Source organism: Homo sapiens, chromosome 9, assembly GCF_000001405.40.
Source record: "Homo sapiens chromosome 9, GRCh38.p14 Primary Assembly".
NCBI classification, from domain to species: Eukaryota; Metazoa; Chordata; class Mammalia; order Primates; family Hominidae; genus Homo; species Homo sapiens.
In genome coordinates this window covers 122,663,320-122,690,474 of record NC_000009.12, presented here as the reverse complement: position 1 = coordinate 122,690,474, position 27,155 = coordinate 122,663,320, and the positions used below count along the sequence as shown (strand labels likewise).

The 27,155-nt window shown below is 38.6% G+C and overlaps 1 protein-coding gene and 1 pseudogene across 1 annotated transcript; both read right to left on the bottom strand.

Annotated features, from left to right (window-relative positions):
* Positions 1-1,843: 1,843 nt before the first annotated feature.
* TLK1P1 (tousled like kinase 1 pseudogene 1) lies at positions 1,844-4,735 on the bottom strand (annotated as a pseudogene).
* A 9,635-nt stretch (positions 4,736-14,370) lies between these two features.
* Positions 14,371-15,345, bottom strand: OR1L3 (olfactory receptor family 1 subfamily L member 3). Its single transcript, NM_001005234.1, has one exon. It carries the CDS (start codon positions 15,343-15,345, stop codon positions 14,371-14,373), a length of 975 nt encoding a protein of 324 aa, NP_001005234.1.

Genomic DNA, 27,155 nt, shown 5'->3' with positions numbered 1-27,155 from the left:
TAGCTTTTATCCACTGTAATCTGAGAAGATGCTTGATATGATTTCACATTTTTAAAATGTGCTAAGACTTATTTTTTGGCCTAATATATGGTCTATCTTGGAGAATGTTCCACATGGTAATCAAAAGAATGTATATTCTGTAGTTGTTGGGTAGAATGTTCTTTAAATGTCAAGTAAATTTGGTCTAAAGTCCAATTTAAATCCAGTGTTTCTTTGTTAATTTTTTGTCTTGATGATCTGTCTAGTGCTATGAGTAGGGTGCTGAAGTCTCCCATTATTATTTTATTGCTATCTATCTCTTTCTTTAGGTCTCGTAATATTTGTCTTGTGAATTTGAGTGCTCCAACATTGTCTACATAAATATTTAGGATTGTTATACCCTCTTGCTGAATGAATAAATCCCTTTATCATCACATAATGTCCTTCTTTGTCTTTTATTGCTTTTTTTTTTTTGTTTACATTTTAGCTGTCATTGTTTATTACTGTTTTGGCTATATTCTCTACAATTTCAGCAGCATTTTAAAGAGACAATGTGTCTATCTACAATGAAAAAACAAAATGGCTTGCAACATCAGAAATACAGTTTAACTGTATTTAAATTAAATACAGTTAAATATTAAATACAGTTAAATATTAAATACAGTTAAATATTAAAGAGAATCCATGGTAAGTATAACCTCCTTTTTCTGCAACATGAACAACTTACATGTAAGTATCAGCATTATTAATGAGACAGCAAAGAAAAAGTCCTTACAGGAGTGAAATACAGCATCCTGAAAAATATTGGTTTCTACCCTACAAGGCAGTTAGAAAATGTTCACATTTTAACAAATTTGAACAAACTACAAGAAACTTATTTATGGGATCATCTTGCTGGTAAGAACTTTCTAGAAATGTAGAATAACCATGAACAATGTATAAATCTAGTATCTATGTGCTCCACAGCCCTATAACCCAATAACTGATTTGAAGAACTCAATATGTCCAACATGGATCATTTTTACATGTCTTGATTGTTAATGAATGTCTGCTAATGATGTATAGTCAACTTGCACCTTCTAGGGGTTCATTTAATTTTTTAGCAAAGAAGTGACATCATTTAGCAGCAATTAGAGCACCTTCAAGAAGACTTTAAAAATACAATATCCAATTAGAAAAGCCACATTTTAAACATTTGTACAAGAATAAGCTGCTGAAACTTAGTGATTGAAATATGACATCTGTACAACACTTTACAATAGAGCTAGAAGGGAATTTATCGTTATCCTGCATAGAACCGGTCTGCATTTGGTACATACTGTCACCTGTTTTGATGCACAAGGCCTGGTAACAAAAGAAAAATACCTGTTATCAATTCTAACGTGTTGAAAACACTGGCAATATTACAATTTAGTGAATTCAACTGATTTCAAAACAAGCAGCTCATTTTGTCAAAAGTGTAAAGTATTTAGGAATAATAGCTCTCCCTTTAATATAACAAGTGAAAGAAAATGGACATGTGATTTCAAGGTGCAACTTGGTAAAAGCCAGAATAGACAAATGACAAAGCCTAACTTTGTCCAAAGATTCTAACTGTCGCATTCTATTACTATAAAACCCAACTGTCACTCTCATTCAGTTCTTACTTTGGCTTCAGCAGATTAACTGCCAAATGCTGAAGAATGTATCCAGGCACTGTAGTTTGTGTGTTAGAAATATGTCTCATATTTTTCCATGTGTTTTTAAATGATGAAAAACTACCCTTCATATTAGAACTCTGGTAACAACCAAATGTATTTAAGTATTATAAATGTTATTGACAGTGTTCCCCCAAATAAAAGACCAAAAATGTTTTTCTTCCATCTTAACATGGTATTCCTGTTTCTTTATAATGGGCAGTCACCCTTCACTGCTCAAAGTTGTAGTCAGAAGTGTGCATTTATTCATTGTCCATGATCCAGTCTCATACAAATGACACTATGAGGAACTTCAGCTCACAAACAGTTTTTAACCATGTCCTGTGTAAAAAAAAGAAAACAAAAAAACACTCAAATGCTCTTAAACTCAAGTGTGCATCTGGAAGCAATTCAAAGATATCATGTCAATCTTGGAGGAAAGTCGGTAAGTAATTATGCTTGAAGAAAGCAGTGTAGGAGATGTTGTCAGCTCAGTCATGTTGTAGGTCTCCTGAAGAATTTGATCTTCGCATGTGTAGGAGAAGGCATGGGTCATGTGCCAGCTGGTGCACATCAAATCAATCTTCTTTTTGATATGCCAAGCAGCATCTTATAAAGGCCTCGGGTTCACTGCTTACAACTGGTTTTACAGGAAACTGGACATCTGTGGCTTTTAATATTGTATTTTCTTGAAGAATATCTTGTTGAGATTGATTGTGACCAAATGGCTTTCTACCATAAAGACACTGAAAGAAGATGACTCCAACTGACCACACATTAATCTTGTTGGAAATCGGAAATCTTTGCTGCCTCTTTTCCAACTACAAAACACTCAGGAGGTAGATTCATTCCATCTGCACCATAGCTATCATCATCCATAATCTTGGACAGACCAAAATCAGTGATTTTGGTTTCACCACATGCTGTTCTGTCTACCAAAAGGATGTTTCCTGGCTTAAGATCATAATGTATAATGGGGGTTGATCTCATTGGGATATCTTAGTGCATTTACAATCTGCATTACAATAGACTCAGCTTCTTTCTCTGACATTAGCTTGTGTTGCTTCAGATAGAAATCCAAGTCATTGCCTTCACAGTATTCTAACACTGTACAAAATATATCTGTATCCAAGGAGAAATAATCATCGAGTTTAACTATTCTGGGGTGATCCAGTTCTTTGTGTATTCTATACTGCAGGCATGTTTGTAGTAGTTTTCTTTTTTCTCATCTCTCCAGCTTTTATTAAGTTGATGTAGCTTCACAGAAGCATAGCTTTGTTCATAAAGGTCAAAAGCCTTATACACTTCACTAAAGCCACCTCTACCAAGCAGATGAAGTAATAAATATCTTTCATTTAACATTGGGTGATCTTTGAATTGTGAATTATCTTCATTGTTTATTCTTCTCAGCTCACGTATGTGAAGATTTCTGACTCTTTCCAAACGTTCAAGTTCTGCTTGGATTTCTGCCTCTTCTTTTCTGAGATGTCCTTGTCTAAGTTTGAACATTTCTTCCTGTTCATAATATTCTGCCAAAGTCAACAGTTGTGGTAAATTTGGTCTAACAAAGGGATCATTTTCTGCTCCATTGACTCCTTTGTTTTTCCTTTGTTTTGGTTCAGAATTGGTAGAGGGTGTCTGAGAATTATTAGCTGTGGGAGGTTTGCATTTGGCTAGAATTTTCCTTTGCCTTTCAATATCTTCCCTTTGCTGATTCACCCATTCTTGTTGCTTCACAAGAGTCTGAAATGCAAAACCATCTATCCATTATTCAGTAAATGAAGTGCCATGTCTAACTGTTGTAAAGTGCCTGAGACGCAATCAATCTTGCATACTCTTCTCTCTGACAGTTTTTCTTGTGTACTCTTTTCAAAAGAAGTTTCTTGCTCATTTATATGCACTTATTTAATCATTCTTTGTATTTTTCAAGTAATTTTTTTTGTTCATCTATTTGCCATCTGAGATCACGGTTAGCCCTGAGCAAATAATCTATACATCCTTCCTTCTTTTCCAGGTCCTGGATTTTATTACTTTCTAATGCTGCTAATTTCAGGATTGTGAGATCAGTCTGAATAATTTTAAAGGATAACTTCTTTGGTTGTACAATAGGGTGGTCCCCAAATGCTAATGCAGTAGGAGAAGGGCTATTTGGTCGAAGAGATGAGGAAGGAGTGGAATGTGAATGTGAATTTTGAGGAGAACTGATTGCAGGAGGTATGCCTCTTACTGGACTTGAGCCATTTCCACCCTGGTATTCAAAATAGTCACTACTTTTGTGGCCACGTCCCCCCAATACTTTTTCCCTGACAATTTTCATTCTGGTTTTCTGCTTTTCTCTATCTTCCCCTGGATGATTCTGATTGTTTCTTCTCTGGCTTCTCAAGGGAACCCACTGCAGATAAAGTCCAGTCACTGTTATAGTCCTTTCAGCTGCCTGCCAGTCGTTTCTCTGATTCTTTGTCACTTAAAGATCCTAAGCTTCCAAAACTGTGATAAGAGCTTTCATTATCTGTTGAGGCTTTAGCTCCAACACTGCAACTGCTGGTACTCCCAGTGTTCCCACTTACAACTCCAATAAATCTAGCTTCCAATAACTCTTGCCTTCTTGGATTCAGACTACAAAGCTCATCCATTGCACCTTCCCTGGGCCTCCTGGATGGTGGTGTGTGTTTCATCAGGGACCTGGCTGCCGCTTGCCGCTGAGCCTGGAGTTGGAGATGTGGAGAGGTGGGACCAAGATGGTGGCCTCTCCAAACTTCCACTCCTACTTTGGACACTCATCAAGCTGCTTTCTGGGAACCTGACTCCCACTCTGCAATGACAGCAGTGACAATGGCACTGGCACCTGCCTCCATCATAGTGGGGGCTTGGCTGAGGGTGAGCAAGAGAGTGAGGGCAGGGAGGGGAGAGTCAAGGGGATGGGGGAGGAAACGAGGGGAGGTGGGGAGGAAAGAGGTGAGGGAAGGAGAGCGGATGGGGAGGAGGGAAAGGGGGAGAAGTAAGGGAGTGGGTGGGCGCACCAGAGAAGAGGCTGAGGGAAGGAGCCCAGTGGCTGAGGTGTGGTGGGGGCACCCACCAGGGCTAGGGTCTGAGTGTGGGCCTATTGCTGTTTTTGATTTAAAGTCTGTTTTATCTAATAGAAATATAGCTACACGTACTTGCTTTTGATTTCCAATTGCATGAACTATCTTTTCCCACTCTTTTACTTTCAGTCTGTGTGTGTCTTTATGGGTAAAGTGAGTTTCTCGTTAGCAGCGTATAGCTGGATCTTGATTTTATTTTATTCATTATGCCGATCTTTATCTTTTAAGTGGAACATTTATTTACATTCAAGATTATTATTGATATGTGAGGCTTTGTTTCTGTCATATTATTAATTTTTACAAATCGTTTTATAATTTTTTTCTTTTTTTTCTCTTTTTATCTTTACGGTTTTAACAAATTATGTCATGTTGCCATTTGATTCTTTTCTCCTCCTCCTTTGTGTGATTATTTTATAAGAATTGTTAGTTTTATTCTTCCATGTGTTTTCATCATAATGAATACTGACCTTTCATTTCCATGTTTAAGACTCCTCTGAACATTTCCTGCATAGCCAGTCTAGAGGTGACAAATTTATTCAGCATTTGATTGTCTGAGAAAGACTTCATTTCTCCTGCATTTATGAAGCTTTTTCTGGTAGAATATAAAATTCTTGGCTGACAGGTTTTCTTTCTAGTGCTTTGAAAATGCCATCCCATTGTCTTCTGACCTATAAGGTTTCTGCTGAAAAGTCTGCTGTTAATCTGATGAGGTTTCCTTTATAGATGACTAGCTGCTTTTCTCTTGCTAATTTTAAAATTCTTTCATTTACTTTGACTTTAGACATTCTGAATAATACATGTTATGTTGAAGTCTTTTTGCAATGTTTTTTCCTGGGGATAGCTGGGCCTCCTATATCTGGATATCAGACTCTCTTGCTAGGCTTGGGAAATTTTCATCAGCTATTTCCTCAAATAGATTTTCTAAACTTTTTGATCACTCTTCCCCCTTGGAATACCAATAATTCATAGGTTTGCTCATCTTATGTAGTCCCAGGTGTCTAGAAGGCTTTGCTCCTTCTTTCTTATTCTTTTTCTTTACTTTTGTCTAACTGTATTATTTCAAAAGACTTGTCTTCTATTTCTGAGATTCTTCCTTCTGCTTTCTAGTCTATTATTGAAGTTTTCAAATGTATGTTTTATTTCCTTCAATGATTTTTGTTTTGAGACAGTATTGCTCTGTTGCCCAGGCTGTAGTGCAGTGGTGTGAACATAGCTCACTGCAGCCTTGAACTCTTGGGCTCAAGTGATCCTCCAGCCTCAGCCTCCCAAGTAACTGGGACTACAGGCATGCACCACTGTGCCTGGGTGATTTTTGTATTTTTTTTTTTTTTTTTGTGGGGATGGGATCTTGTTATGTTGCCCAGGCTGGACTTGAACTCATGACCTCAAGTGATCCTCCTACCTTGGCCTTCCCAAATGCTGGGATTCTAGGCATGAGCCACTGCACTCCACAGTGAATGAATTTTTCATTCCAGAATTTCTGCTTTTTTTTCCCTAAAGATATCTATCTCCTTGGTAATTTTTTAGTCATATCCTAAGTTGATTTTTGGACTTCTTTATATTAGTTTTTAGATTTCTCTTGCATCTCATTGAGCTCCTTTAAAAATCAATATTTTGAATCTTTTACTTGACATTTTGAGGAATTTTTTTTATTGGGATCTGTTGCAGGACAGTTGTGGTCCTTTGGTGGTGTTATATTTCCCCAATTTTTCATGTTTTTTGTGTCCTTTTGATATCTGAGCATCTGGTGAAGCAGTTGCTGGTTCCAATTTTTTTTTGAAATTGCTTTGGTAAGGGAATTTCTTTCCTGAAGATATGTGTATGTTGTTGGTTGAGAAGGATACTTTGGCTAGGATTATGGGTGCCTGCAATAGTGTGATCTTTGCATGAACTCTTTAGCAGTATACAGAGTCAGTGGTATCCGTGATTTCCTCAGTGGCTTAGGGTACAGTTATTAGCTGAGGTTGTGGCAAGATTTTGCTGGGGACTTGGACACTGACTGAGCCAGTCTCCAGGTCCCTGTGGTGGCAGCAGTGGGTTTAATGTGCCTGTTTTTAAGCCCAGAGCAACTTACAGTGACTTTGGTGTTAAAGTGTCCTGGAGGGCTGGTTCTTGGGCCCCAAGTGGCTTGACTAGAAGCTAGTAGTGGGATTGGTAGGCCAGGTGTGTGGGTGGGTTCTCATATCCTGTGACAGCTGGTGTAATGTGGGTGATGGCAGTATCAGTGGTGGAGCAAACCACAGGGACCCGAGTGGTCCATATTGGTGTTCTTGATAGCTGTGATGGGTTGAGCAGGCTAGTCCCCAGTCCCAGAGCCACTGTAGCAGGGTGATGGGTATTACCCTTAGTGTGCTTAGGAGAGCTTTGCCTCCCCTGTCTCTCTCCCAGCTGAGTGGCAGCTGCAGCTGTATTGCCTTGAACTTGGGCCAAGTGTGGGGCACAGCTCAGTGTTAAACTCTCGAAATGAAGCTAGCTGTCAGTTTGTGACCAGAGAGGGGAGGACCCCCTAAGGCAAGCAGTATGGGCAAGAAACTATGGGGAATGGGGTCTGCTCAAGTCTTAGTCTCACAGCAGCCTGTAGCAGGGTAGTGAATATTGTCCTATATATGTGTAGGACAGCTTGGTTTCCTTGTCCCTTTTTGACTGGGTGCTGGCTGCAGCCATGGCAACTCAAACTTGGCCCAAGGGTGAGGCAAATCCCAGGATTAAACTCTTAAAATGGTGTCAGTTGTGGGCTTATTACCAGAGAGCGTGGATCCCCTCTCAGGTGAGCACCATGGGCAAGAAGCTGTGGGAAATGTGGTCTGCTCATATCTCAATCTCAACAGCATTCCACAGCAGAGTGGTAGGGATCCTCCCAGGGGTGCACGGGAGCACCCAGTCTCTCCTATCTCTCCTTGAAGCAGCACAGTGGCAGCAGCTAAGTATGTAGATCGCCAGTATCTGGGCTCTCTAAATGGCACCTGGCTGAGGCTGGTCTAGGCTCGGATGCCTGTGAGATTCCATGTGGGTTCCCTTTCTGGAATGACATCTCTGTGCAATCTTTAGGCAGCTCTGTATGTCAGGCCCAAGGTCTAGAGGGTCAAAGTTTTCTCCCAAAGTCCAGAGAAACCTGGGAGTTTCTCTCTTACTGTTTCCCCATATCTAGGAGCCTCTCTCAGCTCTCAGTTAGTCCCTCACTAGGCAAGGTGTCCTGAACCTTCTCTTTACTTATTTTTGGTGCTTCTTGTATTTTCTCTGGTGAATCCTAGCATTCTCTTCTAGATGGTCTGTTTGAAATGTACCTACTTTCTATTCTGGTTCCTCTCCCTGGAGGAGGAACATACTACCTTCATCTAGTCAGCCTTCTTAATCCCTTTCTTGTCTAAACTGTTCTATTTTCCATTAAATTCATACTCTGGATGAAGCAACTTTAGTTCATCTTCTTAGGATGTTCAAATCAGGTCTTCCATCTTATCACATTAGGTATTATGAAAGGAACAGGTAAGAGAGTGACAGCATCAACAACAACATTGACTAAATGCTTACTATGAACCAGGCACTGGTCTAAGCATTTTATACACATAAAACATTTAATCTTCACAGTAATTCTTGAATGTTGAAACCATTTTATGGATAAAAAACAATGTAACATTTCTGTTACATTAGGATTAGAGACAAGTGTATTCTTGGGGCAAACAGGAAATGGGTTAAACAATACCATATTGCTCACTGAAAATTTTCTAAGAGAATAGATTTTAGGTACTTTTTAGTACACTAGAAAAGCTAACTATGTAAGATGATGGATATGTTCATTTGCTTGACTATAATAATAATTTCACTATGTATACATATATCAGAACATCATGTTGTACACCTTCAATATATACAATACAAAATCTCAAGAAAATTTTTGTGAAATTGATTAACCATTGTTAAATTTTCTCTAGAAAAGAAATTGTTTAAGAATGATCAAAAAAATTAAAAATAACAACGATGGAGGACTTGCCCTAAAAGATTTTTTAAAAGCTCTTAAGTTATAGCAATTAAAGGCAGGAGAATGGTGTGAACCCGGGAGGCAGAGCTTGCAGTGAGCCGAGATCGCGCCACTGCACTCCAGCCTGGGCGACAGAGCAAGATTCCGTCTTAAAAAAAAAAAAATGTACATATTGCTACAGTTTGAATGTGTCACACAAAGTTCATTTGTTAAAAACCTAATCCCCAATGTAACAGTATTGAGAAGTGGGAACTTTAAGAGGTGATTGGGTCATGAGGGCTCTGTCTTCATAAATGGTTCAATGCTGTTATCTCAGGAGTCAGTTAGTTACTGCAGCAGTGGGTCTCTGATAACAGGATGAGTACAATCCGCTTCCTTGCTCTCTCCCTCATGCTCTTTTGCCCTTCCACCTTATACCATGAGGTGGCACAGCAAGAGGACCTTCACCAGATGCAGGCCCCTTGACTTTGGACTTCCCAGTCCCCAGAATGGTAAGAAATAAATTTCTTTTCTTTATGAAGTACCCAGTCATGGGTATGCTATTATAGCAACATAAAGCAGAATAAGACACATATCAGTGAAACAAATAAATAAATGAGATAAATGTATATATGGGCATTTAGCATTTGAAATTAGTGATTATAAATGTTATCAGAGTAATTAAATATATAGATGAAATAGTTATTATATATCTGTCTACAAAATATTTAAAACTAAAGAATAGAATAGAACTGAAGTTAATATAGGAGGCTATTTTTTTTTAGAGGGAAAAGCTTGACAAACTTGACAACATAATAATCAATGGTTTCTATACATTGAAAGTTACCAAAATATTTGAAGGCATTATAGCAGGAAGGCAGATTCTGATTAACACAGAAGCTGTCCAACAGTTGGATAGCTTACCCCATTATGTTGTGGGTTCCCTGGCATTTGAGGCAGTCAAACAAATGCTAAGTGACCACAGAGTATGTCCAGTTTGTAGGAAGAATCAAAGTATAGAAATGGGTATATAATAAGAATGAAAATAACTTTTATAGGAAACTAATCATTAAGTTTAAGGTGAGATTTTGGGGATATCCAGGAACTTAGGGCTGATTGAAACAGAAATGGTGCCCTAGAAACCATCTAGAGATGAAAGAGAAGTTATCTTCTGGTTAAATATTTACAGTGCATGCTCTGAATCTGAAAATCAAGAGTGATTGCTCCTTAAATCTGGATCTGAGCATATGGAAAGATATAGAATTTCTTGGATGGGAAGATTTAATATCATGAAAATGTCAGTTTTATCCAAACCAATGTACAAATTATATACGTTTTCAATTAGAACCCCAATAGGTTTTTGGAAAACATATACAGCAATTAAAACAATTTCCATGTACAACTTTGCCATATATTTATGTAGTTATATGCCTATATGTACAGCATGAGAGTGGTTGAGGCAATCTATTGTCTGTCTGTCTATCATCTATCTATCTATCTATCTATCTATCTATCTATCTATCTATCTATCATCCATCTATCCATCCATCTATTTAAACTATCTTACCTTACAGCTAAGGACACAATTCAAGCCTAATTCATGTTTGACACCACATGTGAACATAGTTGATAAAAAGGTAAAAGAAAGACTTTAGCACTTTTGAGAATTTCACATGAAGAAATAAATGTGTAAGAATTGTCAATAACTTTTTTGAAAAGTAGGATTCAAAGAAGGAAGAGTTACCTTAGTATATATTTTTAAAAACTATGACCATCAAACATTATGGTTTGACACAAATAGAGATGATTGGGTTAGTGAAACAGAATCAAAAGTTCAGAAATAGATTTGAACATATATTGGGATTTACTATGTACTATATATTTACGTGGAGGATTTTAAATTCAGTGTTTAACCACTTCTTGATGGCAAATGGTGACATCTCTACTGGGTCATCACTAGAGAGTATGAGGAGTAATGAAAGCCAGTTGCCAATCCAAAGCAAGCCCTAGTGATCATCCATGGTGACAAATGGATGGAAAAAGGGCGGATGTTAGCAACAGATTCTAGTATAGAACCAAAGTAGACCACACTAAAAAAACCCTGCTCTATATTAGGGACATCAGGAGTAAGCTGCCTAAGTCCTGAGAGTTTAAAGAAAGAGCGTGGAGGGAGCAATGACAGCCAGGAGGGGTATGAAATGAATAAATGGGGCTAAATTATAACAGAAGTCATGGAGAAATTATTGAATTGGGATAAGAGAAACTCAGAATTGGGCCTCAATTGGGCAAAGCAAAAAGTAAAAAAAAAAAACTATACAAATTAAGCTATAGAATGATCTATAAACTTATACAAAAAAGATAACTTGCACATGCATCTTTATAGCAGCACATTGATTTATTTCTACTCATTGAGTTTATATCCACTCACTGAGTGGATAAGAACTTGTGGTGTATATATACACACACACACATATATATATATGATGTTATATATATATATGATGTTATATAGATATGATGTTATATATATAGGATATATATGCATTGGATATGAGTGGATAAAGTATTATATATAATATATATTATATAATATAGTGTTATATATAATATATATTATATAATATATATTATATAATATAGTGTTATATATAATATATATTATATAATATATATTATATAATATAGTGTTATATATAATATATATTATATAATATAGTGTTATATATAATATATATTATATAATATAGTGTTATATATAATATATATTATATAATATAGTGTAATATATAATATAATATAATATAATGTGATATATATGTACATATGGTGGACTACTACTCAGACATAATGCTTTATCCACTCATATCCAATGAGTGGATAAAGAACTTGTGATATATATATATATCACATCATATATATAATCACATCACATACATATATATATAACATCATATATATATACATATATATATATATAAAATGATGGAATACTACTCAGCCATAAAAAGGAACAAATTAATGGCATTCACAGTAACCTGGATGGAACTGAAGACTATTATGTTAAGTGAAGTAACTCAGGAATGGAAAACCAAACATCTTATGTTCTCCCTCATAAGTGGGAGCTAAGCTATGAGGATACAAAGTCATAAGAATGATATAATGGACTTTGGGAACTTGGGGGAAAGGATGGGAGGGGGGTGAGGGATAAAAGACTATAAATTGGGTTCAGTGTACACTGCTTGGGTGATGGGTGCACCAAAATCTCACAAATCACCACTAAATAACTTACTCATGTAACCAAATACCACCTGTTCCTCAAAAACCTATGGAAATAAAGAATTTTAAAAAGTTATGCTATAGAATGAAAGTATGCCCAAGTCTTGAGGCCTGTGGTGACTGTGAAAATTCACTTGTTATATGTACCAGTGCTCCTTTCTCCCATGCCCATTGTAGACATACTCAATCTTCATCGTTCTTCATTCAGCCCAGTGGTAGGCACATAAGTTTTCTCATTAGCAATGCAGGGGTCCGCAGTTGGCACGGAAGTTAAAATTAATTTTGCAATACATGTAATAAAGGAATGAAATAGAACAGTATATCCTTATTTTGATTCTGCCTTACCCTTGGTTAGGGATTAACAAGGGCAGAAACAAAGGTATTTAAAGACTCTTTTAAAAAAGTTTTACTTTATTTTTTGATTGACAAATAATAACTGTATATATTTGTGGAGTACAGTGTGATGTTTTGATACATGTATACATTGTGGAATCATCAAATCAGGCTAACATATCCATCACTTCAAATACATGTTGTTTCTTTGTGGTGAGAACATTTAAAATCCATTCTTCTAGCTAGTTAGGAATATACAATACATTATTATTAACTGTAGTCACCTGCTGTGTAATAGATCCCCAGAACCTTATTCTATCATTTTACACTTTTTAAGATAATCCATCTGCTCATTGTCTAAAATACCATGAGAGATTAATTTGTTTGACTTCGACATTTCCATCTACTAAAATACGAATACTAGAAAGAAAGAGAAACTCATTAAATTGCTGCAATTAAAAAAATATTGTGGGAAATAATTCATCTGACTGCTTTCCTAAGTCATGTAATTTGTTCCCCAACTATATTGAGAGCCTCCTTTGTATCAGGCACTCTGACCCAAGAGACCCTTGCTAGTAGTTTATATTTATTGATATTTTGACTCTGCCTCCAGTGACCATAGGGAACATTTCTGATTACATGGAATAAACCTTTTTTTATTCTGAGCAAAAAAACTAGACAGATAGAGGAGACAGTGGAGATTTTTAAATTCAGTGTTTTATTTAACCACCTAGAGACGCCTAGAAATATATGCATCTCTAGATGGAAGAGCGAACAGGCAAGAAGCCCCAGGAAGAGTCAGGGGATGAATGCCCCTTGGGTATAGGAAAAGAAGAAAGAGTAGAGACTCAAACTCATGTAGAGACGTAGAGTTGTCTTATTAACAGTCAATCAGGCTGGGGGAAGTGGCTCACGCCTGTAATCCCAGCATTTTGGGAGGCTGAGGCGGGCAGATCACTTGAGGTCAGGAGTTCGAGACCAGCCTGGCCAACATGGTGAAACCTCATCTTCACTAAAAATACAAAAATTAGCTGGGCGTGGTGGCAGGCGCCTGTAATCACAGCTACTTGGGAGGCTGAGGGGTGAGAACTGCTTGAACCCAGGAGGCAGACATTGCACTGAGCCAAGATAGCACCACTGCACACTCCAGCCTGGGTGACAGAGCAAGACTCTGTCTCAAAAAAAAAAAAAAAAAAAAAAAGAAAAAGTCAATCAGATAATTGGTAGCAGTTGTTGAGAATCTATGACTCCAGAGTCCAGGACATTCAGTTCTTGTGATAATTTTAAAAAGGGACCATAAAGCTGGGCATGGTAGCTCACGCCTATAATCCCAGTGCTTTGAGAGGCTGAAGCAGGAGGATCACTTGAGGCCAGGAGTCTGAGACCAGCCTGGGTAACATAGCAAGACCTTGTCTCTACAAAAAATTAAAACAATTATCTAGGGGTGGTGGTACACACCTGTAGTACTAGCTACTTGAGCGGCTGAGGGAGGAGGATTGCTTGAGCCCAGGAGTTTGAGGTTATAGTGAGCTATGATAGTGCCACTGCACTCTAACCTGGGTGACAGGGGGGTACGACCCTGTCTCTAAAAAGGTGGAGAGGGGGACCATAGCCTGTAGTCTCATGGGCAGGTGAGACTTGTACATACATACACACATGCCTGCAAAAAATTCCTGACAGCTTTAAATAGAAGAGAGTGACTATGTGTGCATAATATCATTGCACATATTTAAATTTCTACATAGGTATATAGGAAAATTCTCTGATAATTGAAAGACCAAACTTGGATGAATTTATAAACACAAAGAAATATGAGAGGCTCCAAATAAATATGCAAAGAGTAAAGGGAATGTGATTTTCTGGAATTAAGATATATTATGAGGTGAGTCTGTGATTGGGGCATTGATACCAAGACATCCTAATTGTTCAATCATACGATGACAGAGACCACAGGGTGGAAAACCACGAGGTGAAGCTACAAATGGTGAAGATGAAGGAACGTTTTTTCAAGAAAAGAGTGGCATCAGGTGCTAACACACACACACACACACACACACACACCTTGTAATCAGGGTCCACAGATTTTATTGGTCTTTGTAGAGAACCTACTCATTTGAGACTTAATCTTGTTTATCAATTTCTGTAAGCCCCGTTTCATGTCTTTGTTTCTTAAACTGTAGATAAATGGGTTCAACACTGATGTCAACACAGTGTAGTTGATTGTTGCTATTCGGTCCTTGACAGTATAGCTGGACAAAGGCTGCAAATAGACATAGCTAATACTCCCATAAAACAGAATCACCACAGTGAGATGGGAGCTGCAGGTGGAGAAGGCTTTGTGTTTTCCAGCTGCTGAGGGAATCTTGAGAACAGCGATGAGAATTCTTAGATAAGAGATGATGATACAGACAAATGGAGCCATCACAGAGGCCAGCCCTTCTGTCATGGCCACAATTTCATTGACAAAGGTGGAGGAGCAGGACAGTTTCAGCACAGGGTTGACATCACAAAAAAAATGATGGATAACATTTGATGTACAAAAGGTGAGCCGATTCACCAGGAGGACATGTAGGAGAGAGTGGAAATAGGAGAAAGTGATGGGGAATGCTAGTAGCAACACACAGCATCTGCGGTTCATAACAGTGACATAATGGAATGGGTTACAAATGGCTACACAGCGGTTGATGGCCATAGCCGCCAGGAGATAACTATCTATGTTTCCAAAAACCAGGAAGAAATACATCTGTGCCAGACATTCAGCATAGGAAATGGTCTTTTTCTCTGATAAGAAGTTCACGAGCATCTTTGGGACTATGACTGTTGTGTAGCAAATATCAGCAAAGGACAAGATGCTTAGGAAAAAATACATAGGGTTTTGAAGTCGAGGATCAGAGTGGATAGCCAAGATGATGAGCAGATTTCCCATCAAAGTGACCAGGTATATGATAAGAAAGAGGGCAAAGAGTGGCCTCTGGTCTTCAGACCGAGAGGAGAGTCCCAAGAGAATAAATTCAGAGAGTCTTGTCAGGTTGGACATTCCCATGGACTTGTACTCACCTAAAGATAAGCAACACTGTCAATTAATGACATAATTCTTATGTCATCTACAACATGCATCTTTCCACGTTGTTCTTACACTGAGTAGTTATTAATAGAGCATTTACTCTGTAGTTTATTTTTCTTCCTGAGCATGGAGAATCAGAACTGAAAGTGTGTTTTCACTTTTTAAAAGATCTTTGAGGTAGATACCTGTCTTAATCAGTTCAGGTTGCTATAATAAATTACCATAGCCAGGTCAGATGCGGTGGCTCATGCCTGTAATCCCAGCACTTTGGGAGGCTGAGGTGGGTGGATCACTTGAGGTTAGGAGCTCGAGATCAGGCTGGACAACATGGTGAGATCCTGTCTGTACTAAAAATACAAAAAATTAGCCGGGCCTGGTGGTGCATGCCTGTAGTCCCAGCTACTAGGGAGGCTGAGGCAAGAGAATTGCTTGAACCTGGGAGGCAGAGGTTGCAGTGAGCCAAGATTGCACCACTGCACTCCAGCCGGGGTGACAGAGCGAGACTTGGTCTCAAAAAAACAAACAAACAAACAAATCATAGACTAGGTGGCTTAAACAACATTTACTTTTCACAGTTCACGAGGCTGGGAAGTCCAAGATCAAGTTGCCAACAGATCCAGTGTCTGCAGAGGGCTTGTTTCTTGGTTTTCAGAGGGCTGTCTTCTCCTTGTAGTCTTGCATGGCAGAAAGCAGGGGGAGGAAGCAAGCTTTTCTTATAAGGGCATTAATCACATCAGGAGGGCCCCAACCCTCATGACCTAAATTACCTGTCAAATATCCATCTCCAAATGCTATCACATTGGGGATTAAGTGACTTCTGGGGGGACATAAACATTTAACCCATAGCAAGATCTATAGAGAACAGATACAAGGAAAGAGAGAGACAGACAGACAGACAGAGAAAGAGAGAAAGAGATTGGGAGCGAATGGCTGATAAGTTTCTCCTCCTACTTACTCTGTGGCTGGTAATTACAGGAACCACAGATAAAGACTTTGAATCAAGTTCAGGCCATCTTCTGATTAAGGATTCTGAGTGGCTAAACCACATCTAGGTAACAAGATAGTTATCTCACCTAGCTTGTAATTGATGAATACCTTTTCTTTTAAGTCCAGATGTTTCTTTCCACATCATTTACAATGGAAGCAAGAAACTCACTTAGAGAACACTGAGTTGAATGTAAACAGTTACAGGGAAAAGAAACACGGGGAATGAGAGAGTGAGGGGGACAGAATACTTTTGCGAGAAAATTCTCTCCCAAGCTTTCCTACTCTCTGGCTGATAATCCATATTCTGAGGTCAGGGGAATGTAATTCTGGAGTTGGCTAGGGTAAAGGAAGATCAGACTTTAGAGTATAAATACAGATAATCTACACTTAGGGTGAACATAAATTCGCTCTCTTATTTAATGTCCAGTAAGGACTAATTATTTCCCAGAGATCAGGTATTTCCACTTTCTCATCAGGCACTCGCTAGGTTGATTAATTAATTAATTAATTAATCTCTCATGGTATTTTAGACAATGAGCAGATGGATTATCTTAAAGTGTAAAATGATAGAATAAGGTTCTGGGGATCTATTACACAGCAGGTGACTACAGTTAATAAGAGTCAAAGGTACTCTTGGGTCAGAGTACCTTTCCAGGTAAGCCTGGAAAGGACATTAACGTCTGGCCTTATGTATTCATTCCTCTCATTTATGCTCCATGAAATAACTAGTCAGAAAGAAGATAAATCTGTGCCAAGAAACTGCATACAAAAAGGTATCTAATTGTCGAAAATCTCCCAGTGCTTCTTGATTCTGAATGCTCCCTTCCCTGGATTCTTACTGTCATTCACAAGTTGTAGATACTTATAGCCCTTGTTTTCCTCATGGGAGTATCTTCTGAGACTGTGCCACTAGGTCTCTGATGTTTCCTAGGGGAGACAGTAAGAAAACAACCATTCATTAACTTTGTGCAGAATTGTCTCCAGGGATCCAGAGGAATTGCACGTTTTCTCTGCTCCCCCCAGCAAGTGGCCCCACATTCTCCTCTTGGAACCTTCGGAGGTAGTGCAAGATCTGCTTAGCTTGATGTAGGTATCTCAGATGGACGATAATTTTCTTTTCCCAGCTCTTCCAAGCTGAGGGCTTGCCTGGAAGATGTCCCAACTAGCACTGAGAACAGAGTACCTGGCATTTACACCTGGGTCCAATTCCCCCCTTGAACCTATAAAATATCAATTTGGCCTCCTCCTTACTGCCTCCATTTTTTCAAAGGACAACTACCCCAAGTGTACCCCAACATCATTGGTGCCTTCTTTCCAAACCCTTCCAGGATTAGATGCAGCTACTAGTTTAGTAGTGGTGATTTTATGGTTCTATTTTCTAACAAAATGTAGTGTTAAAACCTTTGAACCCAAACATAGGTCACCCTTCTTGTATTAGGCAATCTCCAAGTCTGCTGCTCATATATCGGATTCCTTTCCTTGCTATCACTGCTAGGGAAAGCCACCAGCTTCAAATCTCTTACTCTTCTTGATTCATGTAAGCACACAGAATCCATATATCAGAGTCCCCAAATGCCCTGCCTTTTATATATTGTCCATTCCTGTCGCTTATTGATTTCTGATTACATCTTATATTTCAAGAACCTCACTGTCTTTATTTCTTTTTCTTTTTTTCCCTCTCCTAACTGCATTAAGTTATTGTTAACTTAAAAGATTATACATTTGGAAGAGGAGGGGAGACTTTAATTTTTATGAGGTTACAGCTTACAAGGTGGCCATCCAGAGGCCGGGAAGCATGCCTTCAGCCAAAACCAGAGATAGGCACTTTGAAGGAGGAGGAGTTGAGATAGGAGCTTTTATGCTGAACAGGTTGGCTAAACACATATTCAACAGGTTACAGAAAAAGCTACGAATATTCAAGAAGACAGTCCTGATACATGTGTATTGAACCAACATGCATGTAACATATGACTCATGTTCACTCTGGGATGGAGACTTAACATTTAAATGTATTACAATTAGGGCCTATACATCAAAAGATCTTTTCAGGAAAAGAAAGCACGTAAGTGCACAGTCTCTGTAAACTGGACAGAACCAGTTCATGGTCAGTGATCTTTTTATCAGCAGAAATTTACTAAAATCAGTCTCTTGTCCAATCAAAGCTGTAGTTATGGCTGGTGGAACAAGGGCTGAGGTTCAGTTAGTCGGCATCTGTGGAGCTGAAAATTGTTGTAATATTGCTTATCTTGAGGCCAAGGTTGGGTTAGCTGCTAGAGAAAGAGGAAAGCCTTGTGGCAGTTAGAACACAGTTTATTCTTTAAGTGAAGGGATGTGTGACTTAACCCTTGCCTGGCATGGCCATAGGTCCCATTTATAATTTGGTATCTTATTGCCACTAAGAGTCTGTTCTGTTCATCTTATGATGTCTATTTTAACAATAATGCTGATCAGTTGTTGTGTCTACATCATAAAAGAGAGGGTATATAGTGAAGCCTGTCTAACCTACCATCCTGACATGGCCAGGAACTTGGTTTTAAGGTTTTTCTGGAGTCCCGTTGGCTACCTGGGCATTCATTTAGTTGGTGGGATAGGGGGTGGTTAGGATTTTATTTTAAATTTATATTATAATTGGCAAATAAAAACGGTATACACTCGAGGTATACAATTGATGATTTGATATATACATGCATTGTGAAATGATTGTCAAAATCAAATTAATTAACACATCCATCACCACACATAGTGTGTGTGTGTTTGGTGAGGACACTTGTGATCTACTGTCTTAGTAAATTTCAAGTAAACAATATGATATTATTAACTATGTTCACCATGCTTTACTTCAGATCCCCAGAGCTTATTCACTTTATAACTGAAAGTGCATGACCTTTGACCAACATCTCCCCGTTTCCTCCACCCCCAGTCCCTGGCAACCACCACTGTGCGCTCTGTTTTTATAAGTTCAACTTTTTAAGATTTTACAGATAAGTGAGATTATAAGATATTTGTCTTCTGTATCTGGTTTATTGCACTTAGCATAATGTCTTACAAGTTCATCCATGTTGTTGCAAATGTCAGGATTTCCTTCTTTTTATGGTTGAATAATACACACACACACACACACACACACACACACACACACACACACACACACACGGAATATGCAAAATTTCCTTCTCTCTCTCTCTTTCTCTTTCTTTCTCCCTTTCTCCCTTCCTCCTTTCCTCCTCTCTTTCTCTCTCTCTCTCTCCCTTTCCTTCCTTCCTTCCTTCCTCTCTCTCTCTCTTTCTCTTTCTTTTCTTTTCTTTCTTTGTTTCCTCATCCTGTTGCCCATGCTGGAGTGCAGTGCTGCAGTCATAACTCACTGCTGCCTTCAACTCCTGGGCTCAAGCAATCTTCCCACCTCAACCTGTCAAGTTGCTAGACCTACAGGCATGTGCCACCACATCTAGCTAATTACAGAAATTTTTTTTGCAGAGATGGTGTCTTGCTATGTGGCCCAGGCTAGTCACAAACTCCTGGCCTCAAGCAATCCTCTGGCCTTGGCTTCCTAAAGTGGGGAGATTACAGATGTGAGTCAATGTGCCTAGCCACCTCGTTTTCTTTATCCCTTCATCTGTTGTTAGATACTTAGGTTGATTCTATATCTTGGCTACTGTGAACAATATTGCAATGAACATGAGGTGCAGATATCTCTTTGAAAGACTGATTTAAATTCATTTGGATATATACCCAGAAATGAGATTGCTGAATTCTATGGTAGTTAGATTGAAGGAGTTTCATTGTCTGGGGAAATACCAGACGTTTGTTGTCTCACACTAAGGAGAACAAAGTGGAAAGTTTAATAGGCATAAGAAAGAAGAGAGAGGAAGAGAGAGAAAGAGAGCTTCTTCATGCAGAGGAAGGGGGTGTCCAAGTGGATTTCCAGGTTTGGGGTAAGATGTGGTCGATTTTATAGAGGGGCTTGAGGAGTCAGTGTTTGATTTACATAGGACTCAGGGGTTTGATTTGACCAGGTGTGCCATTTACATAGCCTGTGAAGAAACAGACCGTCCCACTTTATCTTGTATTATGCAAATGGAGCCTTCACCTGGCTGGCGCCATGACACCCACACATATGGCAACAAGGAAAAGGGAAGAGGGAATTGCCATGTTGGATATACGTGGTGTCTGGCATAGCTGCTGGCATTTACCTATGCAAGTTTCCAGCTTGCTTATCTATGCTTGCAACTTGATTTTTCATGCTGCTTTTTATTAGAAAAGAAATGATTTGGGAGCTGCTATTTATTAAAGGAAAATTCCCGCTAAGTATTTTTTCACCCTCACTCACTGCCTAAATAATTTCTTTTTAACCCCTGTATCAATTGTAAGATACAATGAATTTCTCTGAGTTTCTCTTCAAAGATTTAGCCTCCCAACTTCCTTGTCCTTTGTTTTCAAACTCAACTTTCTTGTTCCTCCTTGCCCCTAGTTACTGTAAATAGCCTATCCACTTCCCGTCAGCTCTAATCAATAATGCACATCTATTCCCTTGGTTACCTGCACCCATTGTTCCCCTGAAACTGGACATCTCACATGCTTTACCACTGTACCTCATGTCCCCCTTCCCTTCCGTATTTAGAAAAATATTTGCAAGTAGCCAATTGGGTCAGCTCAGATTGTGCGGCCTGACCCCAGCCCATGGCGGAGTGACACAGAGGTAAGAACGACCATCAGAGATAAAAACTCACTGCTCTCCTTTGTTCCCTGTGCTCTTGCGATCTTGATTGACACAAGTGGCACTCTTCTGCAGAAGTGAATTGCCTTGCTGAGACAACTTTTGCCTAAGTGTTGGTTTCACTTTGTGGCACAAAGCATTTTTTCCTAGAGCATTTTTATATCCAACACAATAATTTCAGTTTTTTGGCTGGGTGCAGTGGCTCACACCTGTAATCCCAGCACTCTTGGGGGGCCAAGGCGGGCAGATCATGAGGTCAGGAGTTAGAGACCAGCCCGGCCAATATGGTGAAACCCCGCCTCTACTAAAAGTACAAAAATCAGCCGAGTGTGATGGTGCACACCTGTAGTCCCAGCTACTTGGCAGGCTGAGGCAGAAGAATTGCTTCAACCAGGGAGGCAGAGTTTGCAGTGAGCCGCCGAGATAGCACCACTGCACTCCAGCCTGGGCGACAGAGTGAGACTCTGTCGCAAAAAATAGTAATAGTAATAATAATTTCAGTTTTTTGAGGAGCCCCCATACTGTTGTCCATAACGGCTGTGTTAATCTACATTCTTACAGTGTGTAACTGTTCCCTTTTCTTTACATCTTTGCAATCGTTATCTTTATACTTTTTGCTAACAGCCATTCTAACAGGTGTGAAGTAATATCTCATTGTGGTTTTAATTTACATTTCTCTGATGATTAGTAATGTTGGGCATTTAAAAATATACCTGTTGGCCATTTGTATATCTTCTTTTGAGAAATGTCTATTCAGGTCCTTTGCTTACCTTAAAACCAAATTATTTGCCTTCATACTATTGAATGTTTGAGTTCCTTATATATTTTGAATATTAACATTAACTGCTTATCAGATATAGCATTTGCAAACATTTTCTCTCATTCTGTGGGTTGTCTCTTCACTTTGCTGATTGTATCCTTTCCTGTGTGGAAGCTTTTTAACTTGATGTGATCCCATTTGTCCACATTTTCTTTGGTTGCCTGTGCTTGTGGGATATTGCTCAAGAAATTTTTGCTCAGACCAATGTCCTGAACATTTTCCCCAATATTTTCTTGAGGTCTTAGATTTAAGTCTTTAATCCATTTAGATTTGATGTTTGTATATGGTGAGAAATAGGGGTCTAGTTTCATTCTTCTGTGTCTTCAATTGGTAATTTCTTGTTGTTGTAGTATCTTTTGATTCCTTACTTTTTTCATTTTTGCATTTACTATAGGTTTCTGTTTTGCAGTTACCATGAAGCTTACTTAAAACATTCTGTAGTTATAACAAGCTATTTTTAGCTGATAACAACTTAAGTTTAGTTACATAAAAAAACTACACTTTCAAGCTCCTGCCCCTTCCATTTTATGTTTTGGATGTCACAATTTACATCTTTTATTTTTTATTGTGTATCCTTTAACAAATTATTGTAACTGTTACTATTTTTAATAGTTTTGTCTTTAAACATTCATACTAAAGTTATGACTGGTTTATGCAAACATTACAGAATTAGACTATTTTGAATTTGACAATGTACTTACTTTTACCTGTGAGTTTTATATTTTCATGTTTTTATGTTACTATTTAGTATCATTTTTTTCCAGCTTGAAGAGCTCTTCTTAGCATTTCTTGTAGTCAGCTCTGGGGATGATTAACTCCATCAGCTTTTACCTTTCTGGGAAAGTATTTATATCTTCTTCATTCTAAAATATAGCTGTGCTGGTCACATATTCTTAGTTGACAGTTTTTTTTCATCACTTTGAGTATGTCATCCCACTCTCTCTTGGCCTGCAAATTTTCTGCTGAGAAGTGTGCTGCTAACCTTATGGGAAATCAGTTAAATGTGATATGCTTCTTTTTCCTTTCTGCTTTTAGGAACCTCTCTTTGTTGTTTTGTTTTATAATTTGATTTCATGTCTTGTGGTAGTCTTATTTGGATTGAATCTGATTAAAGACCTTGGATTTCCATGTACTTGCATATTAATATCTTTTCCCAGATTTGGAAGTTTTAAGCTATTATTCTTTATATAACCTTTCTATCCCTTTCTCTTTCTCTCCACATTATTTAAATTCTATAATGCAGATGAAAGCTATCATTATGTTGTCCTATAAATCCCATACACTTTCTTCATTTCTTTTCATTTTTTTCTCCTCTGAGTGTATATCTTCAAATAAACTGTTTTCAATTTTACAGGGTTTTATGCTGTTCGATTAATTCTGCCATTGACACTGTTTCATTTTTATTCCATTCACTGCATTCTCCATTGTATTTTTATTTCATTCATGTATTCTTCAGCTCTAGAATATCTTATTGATTTTTTAGTATTTCAATATGTAACTTTTTCATTTTTTATTTATTGTTTTCCTGATTTTGTTGAAACTTTTTTCTCTGTCTTCTTTTGAACTTTGCTGAGATTCCTTAAATACAATTATTTTGAATTCTTTGGCAGTTCAGAAATTTCTGTTTCTTTGGGGTCAGCTACTGGGAAATTATTGTATTCTTTTTGTGATGATATGTTTCCCTTGCTTTTCATGTTTCTTGTGGCCTTCTGTTAATGCTTGAATTTGCTTGCAACCAAGACTATACACTCAAAGTTTTCAAGGCAGTGAAATAATCCCCTCTGTCTGTCTGATTTCTGGGATGGTTTTGGTGGGGAAGGATCTTCTTTTATGGGAACATGCAAGGGTGCTGGCTATGTAGGGTGCAGCAATTCTGACTCTGGTGAGGGTGCAGCAGCATAGTCTCTGTACAGCTATGTCATCTGCAGTAAGCGTTGGTAAAGTTTAGAGGGCAGTGATCAATTATGTGAGTGCCTGCAGCAGCAGTGAGGGCTTTTGATGTGTTTGGTGTTTATGGCTGCTAAAAGTTCTCCTGAGATCTTTTTCTTCCACTTGGGAAACCATGACCAAAGGGATGTCTCTTGCCACTGGGTTTGACTCATAGGCCTGCTCACACTGGCAGCAATACTGGTGTCTGATGAACAGTACCTGTGGAGTAGCCAGTGAGCCAAGGCTGAGAGCACAGGCATGTGTGGAAAGACCGTGGCTCTGAGGTCCAGGGCAGCAAACGCACTGGTGCCCAGGGTGCAGGTACCCCTGCTGTTGTGTCGGTAATGTTGTACAAGACATGGGTGTTTATGAAGCAGGCAGGGAATCATGGACTTGTGCAGAGCTATAGCAGCTCCAGGCTCCAGGTCATGTGCTAGCTCTCTATGGTGGCAGGGCTGATATTTGGTGTGTGAATCCATGCAGACAGACCTTAATTCTGGGGTGCAGAGTGTAAACTAACTTGCTATGGTGTTGGCTCTGATATCTGAGGCATGGGTAGATGTAGTACAGCCACAGAGCCAAGGTCTGGAATGCAGGCAGTCATGGAGAAGCTGCAGTTTAGTGGTCAGGAACATATGTCAAGTTGAGAGGAGTGGTGGCTCTGGTTCTGGAGTGGCACAACGCTGGCTACTTCTTGAGGGTGTGTATGTGTGAAGCCAATTCTTCTTCTCTGGGGTTCTCTGGCAGGAATGGCTTTTGGTTACCTTAGTGACAAAAATGCTGAAGTTTTCTGCAGAGCAGGTCACTAGGGACCATGGTGTCTCCCTCAATGTGCCTGATACCAGTGACCTTGGCTTTTCTCTTTGTACCTAGCCATCTCTAGGTATTTCAGGGACACTGATCTCACAAGTCGTCCTTTATGTGCGTACATTCCTCTTCTTCTTTTTATTCTTCTTCTTGCACCACTGTGTTGCTGCAGATTCTTAAATGAGCCCTTGAGCACTCTCTGGGTTATTTTGGTTTGTGTATTGCTGTCTATATTTGTTTTTTGGGTGGTGGGGTTGGGAGATAAAGGCTGGTATCTCCTATTCTGCCATATTGATTATGTCATAGCTGGGAAAGTCTTTTAAACCGTCTGAAACTTGGCTACCTCATCTGTAAAGTGGCCATGATTATAGTGTTACTATCAGATTATAATATTATATCATAGTATTATTCTGATAATTAAAACATGTTTTAATTCTGGCACAATAAAAACTCTCAACAGATATAGCTATCATTGAGGGATTTTCTGCCCCTTGAGGTCTAAGTAAATGTGACTCAATGTTCCCATTTCACAACATGCAGAAGTTCAACTTATTATGGAGAATTTTGCATAGTTTTAGGAAGTTTATGTCCTTGTGGTCATCTGTGCCTCTGGGTTTCTGCTTTTAAGAATGAAAATAAAGTTCCACTTCACTGACCTAGACTTGTTTTTTTTTTTTAAAGAAAATAGTAGGTTGAAGAAATTTGTGTTTATGGACACATAGGTACCTTTAGGGAGGTAGGATAGGGGTTAAGAGCCAAAAATACAATTTTCAGAACAAGTTTAAGTTCTCAGATCTGATGTTAAGAGTAGTTTGATATTCAACAAGTTATTTGTACTTTCTGATTCTCATTGATCACATCTGTTATATGGACATAATAAATTTGTACTTTCATCAAAAGGTTAGTAGAAAGTTAGTATGATAATGTATGTAAAGTGCTGCATTGGAGTGCCTTTTACAGCTCAATGCTTGGTGGCTGTTATTACATAGTGTAAAGATCAGTAGCATCCCTCTGCTGAACGTTCAAGTAAGATTGAATTCAGGAATCTATCAATTGCCTGGTTGGTGGAAGTTTAAGTTCTTTGCCAATGTTTCTGCAAATCCCAGAGGCTTGTAATCTTTTATGATCAATGCCTGCAAGCTTTTGCTTCTGTTATTCTTCATATTGACCCAGATGTGCAACTGAGTCCTTCTCCAGTTACTTAGGTAAGGCAGTCCCTGTGTGGTGTATGGTTTACTAAGGATGTTTGGAGTAGTTTGGCTGTTTATTTTGGGGGGAGTTTATACTTGCATGAAGGGCACATTTGTAACTATTGTAAATATCCTCTGACAAACATGTCTCTGGGAAGTTTCCATGTTTACTTTATCACCATGTAATCTCCAATTCACTCTAGCTGACTCTTCTCTCCCATTTGGAGAGGGTATTGGAGAGAAGCTTCTTATCTTTTGTGTGATTCTCATGACCATGGCCTTCTTGTTTGAACTTCATGTGGAAGGGCATCAAAATGACACGTTCACGAATCTTGCATTTTCCCCTGAGTAGCCTTCCAGAGCCTGAATTACCTTCCAACTCTGTGGGGCCCAACTATGCTTTGGTTCTTATTCCTCTGTGAGATCTGGCTGCACAGCTGAGATTTATGTCTTCTTTTTACCTCATGAATTCTTACAGCAAATTCCTGTGCCAATGTTGAATTTTACCTGAGCCCTGTGCTCCTGGAAAACAGTGACAGTTAAAGAAATCCCTCCACTCTTTTGTGTTCTGGAAAAGAATGAACTTTGTCCCACCCTCAATCTGAGTTAACACATAACCCCTCCTTAATGACCCCTCTGGAGCGTCAACTGATAAAATACATTCTTTGATCAACTCTTCAGTCCTGCTACTGTTACTAGCTCATCCCACTTCTGCATATCTGTTTCTTTCTAGCCTCATTCATGTTCACTTCTCTTTATGAAAGAAAATTCCTTTTCTGTCTGACATTTGACACTTTTGTTGGTCTCACAATTGAGACATTCTCCCTAGTGTAATAGTCTCCCTTGCATTATTGCTATAGACCATTTCCCCACTTTTGCAGTAATATCTCTCCTTACCTAAGACCAGATTGGATTTTTATTTGACATCTGTTACTTAAAAGTATGTGTGTTTCTCTGTACCTTGCAAACCTAAAACAATCCAATTAACAGGAAATTGCCCTCCAAATACTTGTATTGCCTGTGTTATTTTGTTTCCTTAGACCCTGCTGATCTTTGGCCTTCAGATTGTTGACTTAAATCATGTAGTACATTATCTTTGTTTTTAAGTCCAGTAGGCTGGTTCATGGTGTATCAGAAGTAGAAATTTGTTGAAAGAGCAAATGAATTCATAAATCTCTGAGTTGCAAGATAATTCATGGACTAGCAGTGACTAATATTTCTCAGAACTCACAAATGAGCAAAAGTGTTTCTTTCCTACCCAATTTGTTTTTCTGGTTGGAAGACTGTCTTCAAAGTCTGTTAAGGAAGAGAACTGCCCCAGCAGTTGGAGGCATCTGCTACT

Coding starts and splice junctions, on each gene's coding strand:
- OR1L3 (NM_001005234.1), bottom strand. CDS start 15,345: ATGGGAATGTCCAACCTGACAAGACTCTCTGAATTTATTCTCTTGGGA.